General features: G+C 38.5%; 1 protein-coding gene and 1 long non-coding RNA gene across 6 annotated transcripts in view; one reads left to right on the top strand and one right to left on the bottom strand.

The window, feature by feature from the left end:
• Positions 1–20474, top strand: part of RCAN2 (regulator of calcineurin 2) — a 271235-nt gene that overhangs the window by 183041 nt on the left and 67720 nt on the right. The gene's annotated exons all lie outside the window — the stretch shown is intronic.
• The window catches only part of LOC101926915 (uncharacterized), an 89185-nt gene that overhangs the window by 56579 nt on the left and 12132 nt on the right, over positions 1–20474 (bottom strand). Inside the window, exon 2 of the long non-coding RNA NR_125838.1 lies at positions 18771–18949. This is a non-coding gene — a long non-coding RNA (uncharacterized LOC101926915). The remainder of the gene's footprint in view (positions 1–18770; positions 18950–20474) is intronic.

The following is a 20474-nucleotide window of genomic DNA, read 5'->3' as shown; positions in this document are numbered from 1 at the left end:
TATGTAACCATCTCCTCTCCAGTATTTAAGCCTCTCCTTGAACTCCCCCAGTGATGGAGCCCTCAATCCTTATTGAAACCATTTTCATGATTAATCAATTTTTTTTTTCTGAAACCTCGTAACTTCAAACTACTTTCCTATTACTACTGTGCTCCATAAGCCAACAGAGCAAGTCTGCTCTTTGCCAGAAAAGTACTTTTGTTCTTTGAAGAAAGCTGTTTGGCCTGACCACATTTCCAGGTCTTCTTCTCCTGACTAAATATGGGTCTTCTCCAGATAATTCTTTATATGACATAGTTGCAAGTGCCCTCCTCACATCCCAGAGGTCTCCCCAACGTACACTATATTTTGTATGATCATCCAACTGTTCTTCCCCTTTCTCATCTCATTCATTAGTCTTGTGCTTAGACATTTTGGTCTCATTCCACCCTAGACTGTGCTCAAAAGCACCTCTGGCCCTGCCCAACCACATTTGCCTCTCCTCTCCCTTAATCCAAATGTTTCCTCACATGTTGTGTTGCAAAACCAATTTGTCTAAGAGAAGAGTTCATGCTCCTTAGGGTCATTGGTGAAAGATCTCAATAATTAAATGTCAAAAGTTCATATTTGACTATAATAATAATGTCTAACATACATTGAGTGTTTACTACTTGCCAGCCTCTGCACTTAAGTGACTTTCTATATCATCCCTTGGAATCTTCACATTCCCATATATAATAAGAACTGTTAGGATCATCCTTGTTTCACAGTTGGGAAAAGTGAGGCTTTGTGACATGAAGGAGCTCCCAAGTCACAGAGCCAAGAAGTGGCAGAGCTGAGATCCAAACTGGGTTGTCAGGCTGGGAGCCTGCACTCCTCATCACAGCACAAGGCCTTCTCACAGCATCTTTGCCCTGATGCCTGTTGCTGAGGGTCTTTTCATTTGTTTATTTGCTGGATAATTACTTTAGGTCTTTCACAGGATTTAATAGAAAGTATAATTACTGTTATAATTACTGTAACACATAAAGGCTTCTTTCCTTCTTCCAACTTGCTTGAACAAAGCCTCTGAAACCACAGGCGGGCCACCACCATCTTCAGGAAGATTTTCAATAGAGGATTTTAGGAGATGACCTAAAAAGAGGTGGTAATTCAAACCCAAGGTGTTGCAGTTCATTCATTCCTTCAGTGTTCTTCATTCTCCTTCCTTACTCTATTTTCATCAATAGCGCTTGTTTTCTAATATATAATTCATGTATCAATTTTGTTTATTATGTCTCCTCTCACTAGAATGCAAGCTCCATGAAGCCAGAAGTAAATGTTGTCTGTTTTGTTTATTGCTGAATCCCCAGATTAGCATGGAACAGGAGCACAACATATATTTGCTGAATAAATAAATGAATAAATGACAACAATAAAGCAATTTCATCACCTTTTGGATGTAGGCATTTAAACTTTGAGGTTCATTTTTTTCAGCCACCACCATGACCCCCTGCCTCTCTTAACTTCCCCTCACATACACTCTTCAGCTACATACACTCACTCAGCCTTGAAGCCTGAACTCACCAGGGCTTTGATTTCTGCCAGAGGCTTAGCTGATCTTTGAGGCACATACACCCCTCATCTGTGTTTCCTTAATGACGTGTTTGTCTTGAACATTGCGCTTACTGTGTTGTATTATAGTAGTTTGCGTTTGCAAACATCTCCCTGACTAACCTAAAGCTCTTTGCAGGCAGAGACCCTGTCTTCTTCATGTTTGTTTCCCCAGCACCCAGCACAGTGCCTGGCATAGTGCTCAATATTTAATTGATGAATTTAAAATTCTGTTTCCATAGATAGGGATTTGGAACCACAGGGGTAGACACAAGCTAGTTCTGCATGGGTTTTAGAAACAGAAATTGCCATTTGAGGATGGAAGTGCTTTATTCAATAAGCGTTTACTGAATGCCCATCATTTGCCAGGCTCTGTTCTAGATATAGGCTGAAATTAGCAAACAAAGTAGTCAAAAATGCTTTTCTTGGAATATTACAGTGGGAAGAGAGACATGATAAAATGATAAGTTATATAGTATGCTAGGAGTAATATATACTAAAGAGAAAAAAAGTAGGGCAGGTCAAGGGGACTTATGATTAGGGACAGGAGTTAGAATTTTCAGTAGGGTGCCAGGATAGGCTCATCAAGGAGGTGGCATTTGAGCAAAGACTTAAGAAGGCTTCCAGAAACGTTTAGTGAGCTCCTATAGTGAATGAAGCAGTGTGCTGATGCTGCAATTCCAAAATAGAGCTCATACATACTCTAGTGAGAAGACTGCCATGTCAACCAGAGTGTGATACATGTGAGAGCAGCCAAAATGTTAATATAACAGTTTACCAGTAGGCTGTCCTAGAGAGAGCTGACTTTCAATATGTGATGTAAATGTCACCATCACTGCCCTCCTCATCTCTCCTTACCATTCTAAGTTGCCTTATATCCTTTGAAACTGTGTAGAATGCTAGGAGGGTGGTAACTTTGGAAAGCGTGCATTTATGCAAAGGAGTTAGATGGTATCACCCTCTGGGATCGGAGGAACTTTGAGGTGTTACAGGACAGCCATTGGTCTAGAAGTGCTGGTGGGTCATCTTTCTTCATCATAACACAGTTATGGTTGGGCTGGAATTCTTGGAGGAGAAATGTACTGAACAGGCCAAGGAATAGGGGATTTCAGTGGAGCCGTCTGTTGACAACTCTCATCGTTTGGCTCTTTGGACATGGAGACAAGCCAGTCTTGGAGCCATACAGCCCCCTTAGATGCCACACTGCCATTGGCACCCTGCCTACTCCTCACCATATCCCCTGTAATCAGAGGCATTTTGTAAAAAACCACCCTGCTGTGTAGCACACTGGGTGTGGCCACAGCATACTTTCATTACTGCCTCAGGCAGTGCCTATAAAGGTTCTCTCTTGACCACCTCAGCAACATGTACTGAGCACCTTGGCTCACCAGGACTGACGCCAGGCATACAAAGTGGTAATCATGAAAAAAAAAAAAAAAGGTCTTCAGCAGAGAACAGGACTAGGCAGTGATTGTTCGGGCCAATGACTTGTTCACATTTCCAGGACAGTCAACTGTTTAGTATATTTCTCGTATGTTAAATTGGTTTAACTAAGTTCAGTGCTTTGACTAGCTCATGAACCAACATGATGGTCTTGGTCCCCCTCCAGCAGCTGTCTATGGAGAAATATTTTCAGCTCCATGGCTAACAGAGAATCTCAGGTCGATTGTTGAATAAATTTCCCATGTAGCTGATTGGTTGGACTTAATTCATATAATTATGCCTTTTCTAGTAAAGGTGTGAGTCTTTCTTTGAAGTTATAAAAGTGTAAAATTGGCTCACACTTGAATCTGATGAGACAAAAATCAATCAAGCAGAAGTCTTATTTAGTGGCATCTTAGCCTACTGTCTAGCAGAGTCTGAGATGAAATCTTGAGCACAAGTGCTTTAATGGTGACTGGGAGCCAAGAAGCATGAATGGGGGCCAAGTGAAGGGAAGCAAAGAAGGAAGTGGAGCCAACGTGATGACAGGGAATGGAGCAGGCCCCTGTTATGATGACTATCTGCTGGATTCTGTGGAAAGCCTGAGAAGCTACGTGAAGTGTAGTATAGAACCTCCTGTCCAGGGTAAGAAAATGGGAAGCATTTATCCATTAGCTCCCAGCCACCATGCATCAAAGTTTCTCTCCACAGATTGTTAACTCCATGCATTGACTACCAAGTGGTTTCTTGGGGTGCCTGCCTTTGTGTCCGCGGAGAAGTCTAGCATGGAAGGAGCCAGGCACTGATGTGAAGTGAGGTCCTCAGGTTGCAAACTGCATGAAGATAATCAGAATTGCATGAAGTAACAGAATTGGCTATGGCAGCAGGGGCTAGACTGAGTTAGGTGGGACTAGGAGACTATGAAGTGATGCACTAGAAGCATCTAATACAAGCACTGGATAATTCTATTTATTTGAGTCTACCTTGTTCCAATACAGGCATAAGATCGTTCACACACCTGTCATTTGCACAGTGTTCTACTGGGCACCCCCCGTTCTAGTAAATTGTGCAATTGCTTAGTGAGGTGTTAAATACTGTCTTTAACGAAAGAGCATGGGCTTGATATATATCAGACTTGTTTGATGGTTGTTAACTGTTATTTTGTCTCAAGAAAAAATTCCCCTGCCTACCCCAATTGTAAGTCCTTGATTACTGCCTCCCTTCCCCTCCTCTCCACCTCCTAAAAACCACCAGGGCATTCTGTAAGTTTCTCCCTGCCTCAGTACCACTGTGCTTCTTTTATTCCGACCCCTCCACATCTTTCCTCTCTTATATCTGAAGAAAGCTTAATTGTCAGCATTTTACACACTGTCAAATAAACAGACAACTTCTAAATGGCTTCTGAGCTTCCTGAGTTTAAAGATACAAGATTTGGAGTAAGCAAAGATTTCTTAAATAAGACACAAAAATTACTAACCAGAATAGAAAGATGGATAAATTAGACTTTATTAAAAATTAAGAACTCCTAATCATTAAATGGCAGCACTCAGAGAATAAAAAGGAAAGCTACAGTCTGGAAGAAGATATTTGTAATACATGTATCTGACAAAGGACCTATTTCCAGAATATATAAAGAAATCATGAAAATCAGTAAGAGAAAAACAAACAACCCAATTAAAAATGAGCAAAATACTTGAACAGACATTTCAAAAAGAGAAGATATCCAAATGGCAAGAACTATTAGTCATCAGGGAAATGCAAATTAAAGCCATAATTAAACACCATTACACACCCAACAGGGTGGCTAGAAGCAAAAAGACAGTCAATGCCAAGGGTTAGTAAAAATGTGGAACAGCTAGAACTCTCCTGTGTTGCCAGTGGGAGGGCAAATTATTACAACCACTTTGGGAAATTGTTTGCAATATCTTCCAGGCCTAAATCTATATCTACTGTATGATCTGGTATTTCTAATTCTCAAGATAAATGAGTACATATTTCCACCAGAAGACATGGACAAGGATGTTTACAGCAGGCTTGTTCATAATAGCCCCAAAGTGGAAAAGATCCAAATGTCCATACCAAAAAATAGATGAATAAATTTAGTCACCAGTCATCAATGGGATGGATGACTCTCACAATTTCACTCTCAAAATGTAGAGTAAAAGAAAACAGATTTTAAAAGTACATGCTTATCATTCCATTTACACAAAATTTAGGAACAGGCAAAACTAATCTATAGTGACAGAAGTCAGAATAATGGTCAACCTGAGGATTGGAGGAGGTGGTTATTGACTGGAAGAGGGCAGAAACGAGCCTTCTAAGGTACTGGAACCGTTTTAAATCCGGAGCTGGGCAGGGGTTACAATGATAGTGGTTATACTATTTAAGAAGGGACAAGATTGAGAACATAAAATTGGTGACCCATCCCACTAGCAAAGTCTCCAAGGCCTCATGGTCAAGTAGGAGAAGAAGTAGCACCATAATGAGATTGGAAATTATTACATTAGGCATAGATTTAAAAGATACCTGGCCTTCAAATTTTAACTGTTAACTAATTAGCCACGTAATCCTGGGAAGTAACAGTTTTGGACTTGGTTTTCCAATCTGTAAAATGGCTGACTGCTGAGGATATCTCATGCCCCTCCAAATCATAAGATCCCAGTAAGTACACAAGGCTAATATGAAGATATACATCTCGTGTTGGTTCTGCTTGGCTGAATAACACTAAGGAACGCAGGACCCAGAGCTAAAGAGGGAATAGAGTGAAAACTCTCACATTCTATTTAGGGCTCTGTGATGGCAAATCTTGCAATGGCCAGAACTACAGTGAACCCAGAAAGTGAGTTACTGCAGTTCCTGTACCACCACCACCATATGGGTCATGAATTTCTTTCTGCCCCTCACTGAATCATTTCCTGCCATGTCAGAGAAAACCTGCCTCCAACAGTATATGCAGTGGTTGACTGAGGCTCTTGGGAGTCAGCCCCACTTGGGTTTGAAACCCTGCTCTAATACTTACTGTCTATGTGACCTTAGATGGGTCACATAAGCCCCTGAGCCTCAATTTTATCATCCATAAAATAAGGAGGTCACCAACTCCTCAGAATTTTTGTTGTAAGCACTAAATGAGATAAAATCTATAAAAGCCCAGAGCACAGTGCCTCTCTCCTAGCCAATATTCAATGAAGTATACTGGTTATTATTAGTGTAGCCAGTGTCTGCTGTGGCCACCATCAATGCCCCAAGTTTCAGTTGATACCATGTTTGGAGATAAAAATTACTTCTTAATTTCATAAGGTAGCAAAGCAGGAAATAACCTTAGAAATGATCTGGTTAAACACCAAGCATTTGTTTAGGTCCTAATGAGTGGCAAACAATAGAAACTGAAAAGCTAGCTTGCAAAAAGCGTAATTTATTGAAAGAAAGCAGGAGTATCTCATGCAATCACAGCAAATCTAAACAACAAAATTGCAGAATGGCAGAAATCAGGGTCACTCTGGTGATCTGGGCAGCAGAGTCTGCAGATCCTCTCTTGGACATCACTATAAATATGACTCAACTCTAATGTCTCCTGTTACTGAGATCCAACACATCGCTTGATGTCTAATATAGCATTCATACTTAACATGGCCAAAACAGAACTCTGAGGTTCCCTCCTGCCCCCAAAGTCAGCTCACCCTGCCATTTTCTCCATTTCAGGAAACTGTACAATCACCCGCCCAGTTGCTCAGGCCACAGATGGAGCATTCTTCCTTGACTGTTTTCTTTCCCATACTCTCCACATCAGCAAGTCCTATTGATTTCACCTTCACACTCCACTTCTCTCCACTCAGCTCTGACCTTGATCCCATCACCTTCCTTCTTGACACTGCAGTCACTTCCTAACAGTCCCCTTGTTTCTACACTTGCTGTACTATAATCCAGTCTCCACTTAGCAGCCAAAGTGGTCATTGGAAAGCACAAATTGGGTTATGTTACTTTATGCACAAAACCTTCCAGTGGCTCCCTGTTGCGCTTAGAATGAATTCCAAACACATTACCATTGCCAACAAAGTACTACAGGATTCCATCTATTTGTCCAAACTCCCCTCTATGTGCTCACTCCCTTATTCGTTATTCTTCGGGACACACTGGTCTTCTTTCCCTCCTGGAATTATCTGCCTTTAATTTTCTATGTGGTTGGTTCCTTTTTATTGCCTCCCAAGAGAGGTCTTTCTCACCACCTGACCTGAAATAGCTACTCCCTTACTCAGTCACTTCTCATCACTTCACCATTGTTATATGTTCACCATTGCATAAAATCTAATATATTCCTATTTGTTAATTGTCTGTATCCACCAGTAGAGTGTAAGCCTACAAGGAACAAGCTTTGTCAGTCTTGTTCAACAGAGACTAGAACAGTGCCTTTAGTACACATTTAATAGATGTTTGTTGAATGAATGAATGTGTTAAATTGCTTATGAAATGTCAAATGCCAGAGAGGATTTGATTGTCCCAGCTTGGGGAGTAGAATGTCTATCCCAGGATCATTCACCTCTGGCCAAGTTCCCAGGGTCCTTGAGCAGAGGTACTGCTATCTGGAGGGCCATACCTGTGTATCTTTGCAGTCCTTACAGCTGTCTTAAGAGGGCTCAGTCCCCATTTTACAGATGCAGACACTGGGAAGGACCAGAGTGAATAAGAGGCATTCTCAATTATTGAATCCTGTTGGGTTTTATGTTAGTAGGGTATGTTTCATCTGTTCTTGTCTCTTAAATTCAATGGTGTTAACTACATGTTGATAAATATTTTCCTTCATCTCCACCTACTCTATTTTAGCACTAGTGTTGGAATTTTCATTTCCTCCTACAAGAAAGAAATATGGCCCAGATTTTCATGGTGGGACAAGATGTTTCAGTTTTCCCACGCTGATTTTTTTGTTGTTTGTTTTGGGGATTTTTGGCACTTCGGATTTAAAAAAAAAATGACAAAAGAGTCTTGGTGTCCCTTTAGTTGCCACAATCTTAGTTTAGATAACCTATCTCTTTTGTTTTGTTTTGGGTTTTCATTTTTTTTAATTAAGGCTTAGTCTTTGCTGACGAAATCTGAAAATAAGACCTCATTTTAGTTTCTTCTTCTAGCTAAATGAAATCTTTAGAATGTGATCATTTAATAGCAAAGAATGTGCCTAATCATTGACAAGAATTTAAATGTGTTTTTAGCTAGTCAAAAATAATATGCAGCTGTCAGTCCAACATTTCTACTCACTTATTATTCTATTTTCTCTGAACTTCAGCTAAGGAAATAAATGTCATAACATATGATTTCAAAGAATAAAATAAAAAGGTGTTAGTAAGTATTGGTTTGGTAACAATAGAGCATATGAGGCAAGGTATAAAATAAAATTAATTCCATTTTATTTCCTAATTTGATTTATCAGGGATCTGTGGGTTCTTTAATAGAGAGTTAAAGAGATTTAGATATAGATATGGCCATTGTGTATTTTTAAATTTTATATACCATTTCTATCATAAAACTTTAAGATAGTCACTCCATCCTTTTATGATTACTGTTTGTATGTTACATCTTTTCCCATTCTTTGACTTTAAACCTATATATGGCTTTGTATTTAAAATGAATTTTCTTGTAGAGGGCATGTAGTTGAGTGTTGCTTTTTTAATCAATTTGGTAATTTTTGTCTTTCAATTTACTTGTTTAGATCACTTATATTTAATGTAATTATTGGTATGATTGGATTAAAGTCTATATTTTCCATCTTTTTTTGTTCCATCTATTTTTATTCCCTTTTTCCCTCTTTTTTCCCACTTTTGTATTCATTGAGCATTTTGATTATTTCATTTTGCTTTTACTTTTACTTTACATTTGGCTTCTTTTAAATTGCTTTAAAATTTTTTTATCAGTTGCCCTGGAGTTTACAATATACATACTATATATACTTTTAATAATTACTTTATCTTCGTGTATATCATAAAAATGTAATATAATTAGATTCCATATCATTGGTATGATCACCTTATAACCAATTAAGTAGTGAAGCTTCTTTCAGTCCCTATGTATATATATTTTAAAAATGGTATTTGCAATTATAATAACAATTACTGAGCACTTACTGTGTTCAATATTGTATTCCATTATTATAAGAACTTTTATATTTATTGACTCATTCAATCCTCACAATAACCCAGTGAGGGTAGGTTGTATTCACTTATCTTCATCTTCCAGATGAGAAAAATAAGTCACAGAGAAGTCAAATAAGTTGATCCAGGTTTCAAGGCAATAAGTGGTAATACTACTTTTATTTTAGGAGAAAATAACAGGATAGGTTTTCATCTATAAAAGGGGGGCCAGAGAGGGGAAGAAAGCCTTCTTAGTAGCTCAAGTTTTCATGTGAGAAAATGAAGAAAAGCTGTATTCTCAGGACAGGATGGTAGTGGTGAGCCACACTCAAACAATCCCATGTAGATACAGAGTAGATAACCATTATGACTGTTATAGTTGTTACTGCTGCTGCTGCCATAAATCAGTCATCTCTGCTGAAAGTAACTCTGCACTAAATTCTCTGTCATGAACTATAAGTCCTAAAAATGTTTGCATTAGAGGGACCACCAGTACTGGTGCTCTTGAAATCCATATGCATTGATGATGTGACTCTGGGAAATCATGTCTAGGTTTCTACTTCTTTAAGTTAGGTGCATCTTTCTCCACTTTTATTTGAGTTTCATGGGGTATACATGCAGGTTTGTTACGTAAGTAAATTGTGTGTGTCCCATCATCCAAGTAGTGAGCATAGTACTGGATAGGTAGCTTTCTAACCCCCTCCTATTCTTCCCCCACAAGCAGTCCCCAGTGTCTGTTGTTCCCATCATTATGTCCCTGTGTATTCAGTGTTTAGCTCCCACTTAAAAGAGCATGGGGTATTTTGTTTTCTATTCTTATATGAGTTCCCTTAAGATAATGGCCTCTGGCTGCATCCATGTTGCAGCAAAGACATGATTTCATTCTTTTTTATGGCTGCATAGTATTCCATGGGGTATATAAAGCACATTTTCTTCATCCAGTCCACTGTTGATAGGCATCTTGGTTGATTACGTGTCTTTGCTATTGCAAATAGTGCTGCAATGAACATATGAGTGCATGAGTCTTTTTGGTAGAATGACTTATTTTCCTTTGGTTTATACCCAGTAGTGAGATTGCTGGGTTGAATAGTAGTTCTGTTTTAAGTTCCTTGACAAATCTCCACACTGCTTTCCACAGGGGCTGAACTAATTACATTCCCACTAACAGTATAAGTGTTTTAAGTTGGGTAATTTTTTAAATAGAGATTCTCCAACTCTGATTAGTTTGTACGGTATCTACCAAAGTGAGGGAGAATCTTCAGGTCCATAAAAATATTAAGGTTTACCAAAATCTGAAAAATTATTGGTTTAGCATAAGTACTGGTAACATCGCATTGTAAGAATGGAGCCATTAGCAAAGAATACAGCATAAATTGGGATAAGCCTAAGGCAGTTCTCTCAAAATGTGATACCTGGTTTGCTCAATATTGCCCTCACCACTACCCCCAGCCCAACATTAGTTTTATTTTGAGCATTGACATAATATTGCCCTACACTGAGTGACATCTATGACCTCACATAAAATCAGTCATATTTACAACTACGGGTGACTTTTGGCTGAGTTGGAAAGGCATGTAAAATATTTCACAGTATTGAAGGACATGTACTTTTATAAGTTAATTATTTTTAGTATTATTTTTCCCTTCTAAGCTGCTGAGAAGATAATTGCATTTTAGAAACCACAGTATTAATGTTAGGCACTTTGTCACTAAGCAATAGAATAGACTTTGTAATGCAATTTACATAAATTAACGACTCCCTTCTGGTGCATGTTGGATCTCCAGGACTTAAATAAAGCTTTCAAACTAGTTTGATATTTGGTGGAATATTAAGCATGTGAAATTTGTTTCAAAGTGTTTCAGTTCCATTTTCACTCACTTTCTCTCCTCTTTAGAAAGAAGTTCTCACCTCAGACTATTTGTTCTTTTCCTTCTCGTTCTCTCTATAAAACGTTTGGGCCTTAAAGAATTATATTCAAGTGATTTGTACAGAAAACTAGACTTTAATTTGAACTAACTTTAGCAGGAAGCATTCTGAAAATGTGACACAATTCTCTGTCTTAGGAAATAGTTCACATGAAAAGAATGGAGCTTTCTTAGCAACTCAAAGAATTGCAGAGTGTTACTCCTATTTCCATCAGAATGTTTAGACCTGTAGTAATAAATGTTTTAGAATATATAGGCAAATTCAAATTTAATTTGGTCCTTCATGGAATCTGAAGAAAATATGTGTTCTGTGCCTCTACTTGTGGGAAATCCTGGCTCTTCTTAACATTTCTCCTCCCCTTTCCTTTCTTTAGGCAAAGCGGGGGGTGTCTATTCTACCCACCCGGACTGTGCAGTGGTTGTCATTTTAGTAAGAACCCAGGATTCAGGTGGGTTAGCACTTCTGCACCCTCTGGAGGTTCAGGAAAAGCTTGGTGGTATAGGACCCTTTCACCATACCAGGACTAAGAAGCTTTACTGTGATTATTCGCTTTTTGAGAGTATCCTCACTTCTTCATTCCCTCTGAAGTGACAAGAGGCTGTATCTTCTCATCTCGCTGGCCTGGCAGAGCCCATGCTGAGCCAATCAGTGTCTGTAGAGCCTCCTTTTGCACTAAAATTCTTTCTTGCAAAATTGGATGCCCCATGGGGTACCTGCTGCAGTGAAAATATGCCAGTTCTGCAGAGCTGTGCAAGTTCAGGATCAGGTCCTTGAAACATGATAAAGGGACACTATAAGTAGTACGGAGCCTTTATCATAAAGTTCTCTGAAGCGGAGTTCAGAAGTGAGGAAAAACATTTTAGAAGAGTTTGTACTGTTAGGAAAGAAAATGAAGAAGTAATTTCGAGTATTTTTGGTGGATGTGTCTGGGTATAATGGAAAGAGACAGGACCTGACCTCTTGAAGGCCTGGTTTTAAATCTCTGTGTGACTTGCTACCTATTGTGGCTACTCCATTAAAAGCAGAAACTGGTAGCAGAAGAGATTTACAGATTTTTTTAACGTATTGCATAAGAAGGTGATTCAGTGTTTTCATGAATCTTGTCATAGGGGATTGGTAGCTTTTTATGTTGTTGATCTTCTGGAGATTTCCATAACATCATAGACACTTGTTCAAGAAATATGTATGTACAAATAAGAAGCTAAATGGTGGGCCAGATGGCCTCTGGGTATCATATAATTTTATTTCATGCTGCTATTCCTCCCTACCTAATGATTTAATTTTTAATAACATATAGGGAAGATAAATCATATTGAATTTTTAAAATGTATAAATATGAAATTCAATTAGTTACAAAGAATTATATATTATGTAAATGTAACCTTAAGGAAGAAAAGAGAAACATAAGTGTCTATTTATTAGGTATCTTTAAAGTCAGATAGGGCATAATAAGGATCAGTTACACTCTGCTAACATAATTAAGTCAGAAGGGAATATGTGATGTCAAAATATGTCACCAGGGAAGGTCACAAGAAGTATCTCAAAGGACATTGCATTGGTGAAGTCTTTATAATCTAGTGAATGACCCTCCACTCTTTTGACTCAGAAACATGGTATTGTCAATATTCCAAAAGTGGCTCAATCTCTCTGGACTACATGTGTAAACCAGAAGGTCATCTAACATGCAGTGAGAAGTATAACCATCAAGCAACTGGGTATTCACATGCTCTGACCAGCTTTCCCAGTCGGGAAATCAACATGGCAGGCCAAAGACAGCACACACACACAGACACACACACACACACACACACACACACACACACACACGAAGCTATTGGACTGTAATCCCAGGCAGTGTGACTCCCCAGCATTCTTAACCACTGCATAAAAGGTGCCCTTATAATCGATGAACATTGCTGTTAAAAAAAAAAAAAAGTTTGCTCATTTCTGTTCCATAGCCTACTTCCTTGCTTCCATCCTTCCACTTTCATTGAGAACAAATTTGTTTTTGGCCTAAGAGAACACTTGTGTCTAGATCCTCCCTCCTGCTGCTTCCCCAAATCCATCAACTCTCCTGAATCTTCAAACTCTGAATCTTTGACCCTCTTCTCCTCTGGCTCCAACCTCTCAATTTGCAAACTTGCTTGGGTTTCTTCCATCCTAACAACTGATGCTCTTTTGATGCCATGTTTCCTTCAGTCTTTTTTCTTCTCTTAAGTGTTCAGGGTCTTTAAATAGTAGATTTGTCATCTCTCCTTGCTTCCCTGCAGTCCTGCCTTTATCTCCTGCCTCAAAAACTGCTTTTGCTTCCTGCCAACTCTGGTAGACACTTTGCATTCTTACTCTGGCCCCTCTTCAACTTTTGATACAGGTGACCCCTCTCTACTTCTTGACACAAGTATCCTCCTAAGCTTCTGTCAGGCTTTTCTTTTCTGGTGTTCTTCTGTTCTCCAGCTACTACTCATCTCCATTCTCATCTTCTCTTTCTTCATCCTTCCCTCCAATGCCAGTCTCCCAGGTTCTGTCCTGAGCCATCAGCTCATCTCTATGTCTCTCCTACCAAAGTGGCTTCAGGTTTCACATGTATGCTGATGGCTTCTGTCTCTGTCTCAGGCCCAGATCTGTCTTATGAGGCCAAGATCTGTAAATGGAGCTGTTAACTGGATGTCTCCACTTGCATATTCCCAAGAAACAGCCAACAAAGCATGCGGAGGGAGATATTTCCTGTCTTCATTACCTCAGATCAACTTCTCCCCCAAGATCCACCAAGAATTTGCAAGTCACCCCACTCCTCCTTCCTCCTGTGCCCCTTTAGCAAGCAGTATGGATTTTCTCTCCTTTGAAGCCTTCTTTTCTTTTCTATGTTCCTGCCACTAAGTTGGCCCAGACCCACACATTTTCTCTTTTGATTACTGCAGCTGCCCTTACATATGGTTTTTCTGTCTTTATTTTTTGTCACTCTCCAGGTCAGCCTTCATATTACAGATAAATTAATATTTCCTTTTAAAAATGTTAAAATGTGAAAGTGGTATGTGCTCATACTATTTTTCTTAAGCCTTGGACAATGCGTTGGACACATAACAAAAAGTTTTCATTATCTTAAAGCAAATATATAACCGTGGTAAGCATACTGGTACATTTCCTTCCAGCTTTAAAAGAAATGCATGAATAGTTTTTCTAATCATCATTGGGATCATGCTCCATATATCACTTTATTGCTTGATTTCTTCACACAACACATAAGGCATTATCCCATATCATTAAAAGTTATCTTAAAATATGATTTTAATGACCACACTATAGTCTAGAAAATGAAATGGATGAACCATAATTTAACCACTCCTCTATTGTTGAACATTTAGTTTGTTCATTTAAAAAAAATTGTGCTTAAATCTTTAACTCTTTCCTCTCATTATTTCCTTGAGATCAATTACTAGAAATGAAATTATTTGGTTAAATAATATGAGTATTTTTGAATTTTTTGATATACTTTACCAATTGCTTTCCAGAAAAGAGATAACAAATTATTCCCTTTGTAATGCATGAGATTGGATGTCTCACACTAACTAGAATTGAATGTTCACATTTAAATTATATGTTTTCTGATTCAATAAATGAATAATTAAATTTCTAAGTGAAGTTGAGCATGTTTTCATGTTTACTTGCTATTTTTAAATTCCGTGAATCATCTATGCATGTTGTCGGTTTGTCTTTATGTTAAGGTTTCGGTTATTCTGTTATTATTAGTTTGTATGACAGAGTAGTCATTCTGAAATTCAAGCCTTGTCAAAATCCTGTATCATTCCCTATAACTCTCAGGATGAGGTTGAAATGCCTTAGCTTGGCACACGGTGCCCCAATCATCACGCCCTTGACTACCTGACTTTGCTGCTCCAAGATGCACATAAATACAGTACAGGCTATTCTGAAGTCTTTCCAATTCTCAAAAAAAAAGTATTTGTTCTTTATGCCTCATGCTTTTGCAACATGCTCTATTTTCTACTCAAATTACTATTCTCCACCTGACCTCTGTTTTGCCTAGCCAACTCCTGCTCACTTTCAAAATCACTCAAGAGTTACCTCCCTTGTGAGGAAGCTACTTTTGACCTATTAGCCTAAATTATCTAGCCCTTTCTGTGCTCTTACCTGAGCAAGCCTTTCTCATACCCCTCACCACACTGTATTGTCTTTCCTCATAAAAAGGGCAGGTTTTTTGTTTCTGCTTCCCCAGGGCCTAATGGCCAGCAGATGGTAGATACTCAATAAAGAGGGAAGAAGGAATGAAGCTGTCATTCTTCAGCTAAAAATAACTGCATTTGCCCTTGGAAGTTTATCCCAATTTGAATTTCTTATTTGAATATTATAATATGTTCTGGTCCTTCATATGTACAAGTAGAAAGAGCTCTCTAGTATTTTTGCTAATCTATTAAAGCTTCTATATATAAAGTGTGTGGCTACCATATAGCTAATGTCTATACCCACCCATGAAGTTGTAGAAAAATAATTCTTTGGCATGAATTTGATAATCTCCAAAAATATTTATTATTATGCACAAAGAAGTAGAAATTATAAATTCATAAGGTCAGTTATCATAGCATGTAGTTTTTTCAGCTTAATTCCAAGGAAAACACAGTAAGATGCTAAGAATATTACTAGGTATATATCCAAAGGATTATAAATCATTCTACTATAAAGACACATGCACACGTATGTTTATTGCAGCACTATTCACAATAGCAAAGACTTGGAACCAACCCAAATGCCTATCAGTGATAGACTGGATAAAGAAAATGTGGTACACATACACCATGGAATACTATACAACCATTAAAAAAGGATGAGTTCATAACTTTTGCAGGGACATGGATGAAGCTGGAAACCATCATTCCAAGCAAACTAACATGGGAACAGAAAACCAAACACTGCATGTTCTCACTCATAAGTGGGAGTTGAACAATGAGAACACATGGACACAGGGAGGGGAACATCACACACCAAGGCCTGTCGTGGGGGTGGAGGGCTAGGGGAGGGATAGCGTTAGGAGAAATACCTAATGTAGATGACGGGTTGATGTGTGCAGCAAACCACCATGGCACATGTATACCTATGTAACAAACCTGCACGTTCTGCACATGTATCCCAGAACTTAAAGTATAATAAAAAAATAAATAAATAAAAATAAAAGAATGGCAGGATCAATGGATAAGTGGATGGATGGTCAATAAATCTAAAAGTTTACTTGACAAGAAGGAAACATGTTAATTTGGAAAAATAAATTTTTCTATTACCTAAGAATGCTTCTGTGTAATTTCACATTTAAGAATGCTTCTGTATAATCTCAGCAGATCATTTGAGGTTCAATTATATGCTAACATTAAAATAATTAAGCTCTAAAAGGGAAATTGGAAAAATTTTGCTGTGCAATTTAGGGCAACCCCCCCACCAAAAAAAAAAACAAAAAAAAAAACAACAAATCAACTCCCAAGAATATGGCAAAAGGATAGCATAATAAGAATATCCCCAAATCTACTAATTATATTGGGAAGCCAACCTTCACTTTTTAAACACATTTGTCTTTTAAAAAGTTGAAATAATAATTGCTTGCCTATAATCTACTGGATCCACTTGCTTAATTTGGGGGCCAACTAATCTCTCAAGTAGAGTTAGCTAAGTTTTATCAATTGTCACACCCTTCCCTCTAGGTAGCTTTCCAAGCACTGTCATTGTATCCTCTCTCTGTTGAACAAGAAAGAACTGAGGTTGGTGTTACACCAGTTGCCCCACTGACTAATTACAATTTAGTGTAAGAAGTTTGCTGAGCAGGCAATTTCAAGGGGTATCTGCATTTTAAGGCTTTTAATTCCAATTGCAGAATGTAAGAAATTTTAGGCATCAGTAAACTACTGGAAAAAGCTGAGCTACTTGTGCTGGTTGCCGAATACTGTCTGCACATTCATGTCTCTGTATCTTCGCCAGTGCTGTTCTGTCTGCTTAAAACATCATTTACCACCTCAAATTCCACGTACTTTCCCTATGGATCAAGAAAGTACATGTGCCACTTTATACTATGGGTTCCTTCTTAGGTATGCATAGGGCACCACAAAAACTGCATTTCAGGGGCAGGTGTATCCTTAGAAAACATTGATGAGAGAAGTCCTAGCCAAGTTAGGCTGCAGAATCACAGAATGTTTGTGATTAGGAAATGTTTTGTCCTAAGTAAGGGTGATCTTGTCTGTGGGGAAAAAAAAAAAAAGAATGTAAGGGGCATATTTCTATGAATTTTGTTGTTGTTGTTGTTAGGAAGAAAAAGACACTAAATGATCATTTGCTTTCCTTCCTAAAGCACTCTCCACTCTGAGCTTCCAATCAAAGCCCTGCAGTGCCTGGAGGGGGAAATCCCTGAGGGTGAAGTCACCTGATTCCACTAGCATTGTAGGCAAACTTGGTTCCCACCGCTGGGACTCGGTGGCACTCCACAGCTGCCTCCCTTCACACACTTGTCACTCAGCATCATACCTTCTCCTCACTTCCCCCTACCTGTCTTTCCCTTCCTCTCACTCTTCTTGCTTTCATTTAAAAAGCAAAAATAACACCAGTGGAAAAAAAAAAAAAACACTGGCGAATTAACATTTAAATTCTTTCAGTTCAGCTGGATTCAGCTTTTTTTCCCCCTGACTCTGTGGTTGAGTTTTTAAGATATAAATAAAAGACCTCTTAGAAACACAGTGATTAAATTTCTTATTTCATCACGGAAGCTTCCCCTTGTCCTCTTCTACCCTTTCCTAGACCTTGGCAAAGTACTCTTTGCTTCTAAACTTTTAACTCCTGCTGCTCATGAAACTGTGGCTTACCTATTAGGTGAAGGTCATGACTGGCCTGCTGGTAATGGGCTGCACTTTGTGGGCCAGTCCTGGCTGTATTGACCCATGAGCTTTCATGTCAGGGATTGTGAGGAGTGAGTGTAGTATCAATTTTACTATTTCCCATGAGTTTCAATTAGACTTCCAAATTCTACCAATAAATGTTGTAATTTCCTCAAAGTCATTTTACTTAAATCCTATTATCCTGATCTTGCTACTATATTTCTGTGTACATAAGTTGACTGTAGGAAATATAATTCTTTCAGGCTTCCGTCTTCACGGTTTTAGTCATATATCTTTGGCTAGTACCAATTAACTTGACAGCACCATATTAATACTGTTCTAATGATTCATTTCCTTCTATGCTTTTTCTGAATTTTCAAGATAGACTTTGTTCCATTTGGTTTATTTTTCTTTATGATTTTAGGCACAATGATTTACTGATATTTAAGATTATCCTGGAACAATAATTCATTGAAAATATAAGGGTGACTATGACTATTTTGAGAGAGGGAGAAAGAGTTCAAATAAAGTTCAAATGCTGCAGGCTTCCATTTATCACTGAACAGAACAATAAACTAAGAATAGACAAAGTGGCCTCCTGCAAATTTCATCCCAATTATGTTTTCTGTATTCTCTTTTTCTCATCATTTAATATCTCATCCCTGTTTTATGATGTTGTTTATTGTTTAATACACAAGATATAGCAGTTGTTGATTCCACCTACAAAATTAGGATTTATTTTCTAATTTACATTAGTTCATGATTTTCTATGTTTTTCCTGCATATTCTTAGAGTACCAAATGGATAAAATCCTGTATTGGGGCACAGGCTGAGTCACTGCAGAAAGACACCTACAGATGCAGCACCTTACCTAAGATGCATTTTTTTTTTTCTGCATCACTGTTCAGAGGTAGCTGGCAGTCCATGGAGGGTCGGTAGCTTTGCCCCACAGTGTCATTCAGGGATCCTGGAAGCAAGCCCTGCCATGCTCCATACTTGGTCCCACTTGCGGGTCCAAGTTGGCTGCTTCACTTGTCTCTATTTCCCAACCTTGGGGAATGAAAAACATGAAGTAGAGGACAATCTTTAACAAGGAGATTGAGAAGTTTCATGTGTCACTTCCACTTGCATTTCAGTGGCACAAACTTAGTACTATGGTAATACCTAACTGCAAAGGAGGCTGGAAAATGTAGTCTCTAGATGAGCAGCTGTGTTCCCTGGTAAAACTTGAGGTGAGGGTCCTATTACTCAAAGGAAGAATTGATGCAGGGTGTCATCCATAATTAGCAATGCCTTTCACAGATACTTTTAAAGTTAGTTACCTTAATATAGATTTATAAGAATTTTATTTTTATTTGCAAATTGCCCTTAAATGATTCCCCATTTCACTATTTTTCTACTCTTCCTAAACTTAGATGCTTGGTGGGAATGAGGAGCTGTCATCTTACATACTGTCTGTGAAGAAGTATCTGCGTGATACCCATTGTCCTCATATTCAGCCCACTCTCTACATTAGCACATAAATAACATGAAGATAAAATATCTTTTTTCTCCTTATAACAGATGAATCTGGAAACAAACTGATGATTTATTTACTTAGGCATTCCATAGGGTCTACAGTATAAAAAGGACATCTTATGTTTCCTCTTGGGCTTCCCAACCAGTATTAGGCTTAACAACTTAAGATTCTCACAACCCAACTCTTTGCCTCAATAAAAGAATACTCTTTCTAGTTCGTTGCAGTTCACCATAGGCTGTGTTCTCATCCAGAGACCCAGGCCTGGGGGGAAAAAATAGTGAAGTTGGTTATTATCTCCACTAGACAAGTGATGAAGGTCCATGTAGGAGAGGAAGGAAGTTGGCATCAGACCCAGTTTTTGAATCTGAGGTGTTGCCCTGTGCTCCCTGTTAAACTAGCTCTGTCAGTCATAGCTGATGCATCTGCAGCCACCCGTCAGCCCCACAGAATGGCCAGCTTCCCGCATATGTAGCCCCATGACAGAAATAGTTCTGCTTTAAATAGGCAAGTCTCACATGTGTGTTTTAAGAAACTGTAGAATTGCAGAAAGGGAAGGAAGGAAATTAACTAGCCCGAGCTTGATGTTGCATTTACATCATACTTATTTATTGAGTTTGCTCCCTGTTGGGTGTTGTACTAGGCACTGTGGATATAGTGACACAGCTTCTGACCTCATGGAACTTTCAGTCTAGCAAGTTGACAGGCATCAATCAGAGGATAACTTGGCTATGTCATTAGAACTGGGATACAGAAAGAGACAAAGCTAAGGGCATCCTGCCCAAGGCAATAGGTTGCCTTCCTAGGCCAAAAGTTATACTTCGGGGATGAAAGAGGAAATGGAGGAATAAATAACGGGATCAGGATTTTGAGAAACTTTCCTTCACTCCTCATTTCTGCTTCTCTATTTCTTCAGAAATGCAGATAACTTTTTGAATATGTTTAGATAGGAGGGGAACAATAGTTACTAGTCTGTTTAGCCTCAAATCATCCATAGGTTGAGGATTCTCCCCTCTATTAGAATCCTCAGAGGGTATCCATAGAGGGAATATTGAAGGT

Source organism: Homo sapiens, chromosome 6 (assembly GCF_000001405.40).
Source record: "Homo sapiens chromosome 6, GRCh38.p14 Primary Assembly".
Taxonomy (NCBI): Eukaryota; Metazoa; Chordata; class Mammalia; order Primates; family Hominidae; genus Homo; species Homo sapiens.
The sequence above is the reverse complement of the archived record's forward strand: the minus strand, read 5'-3'. Positions and strand labels throughout refer to the sequence as shown.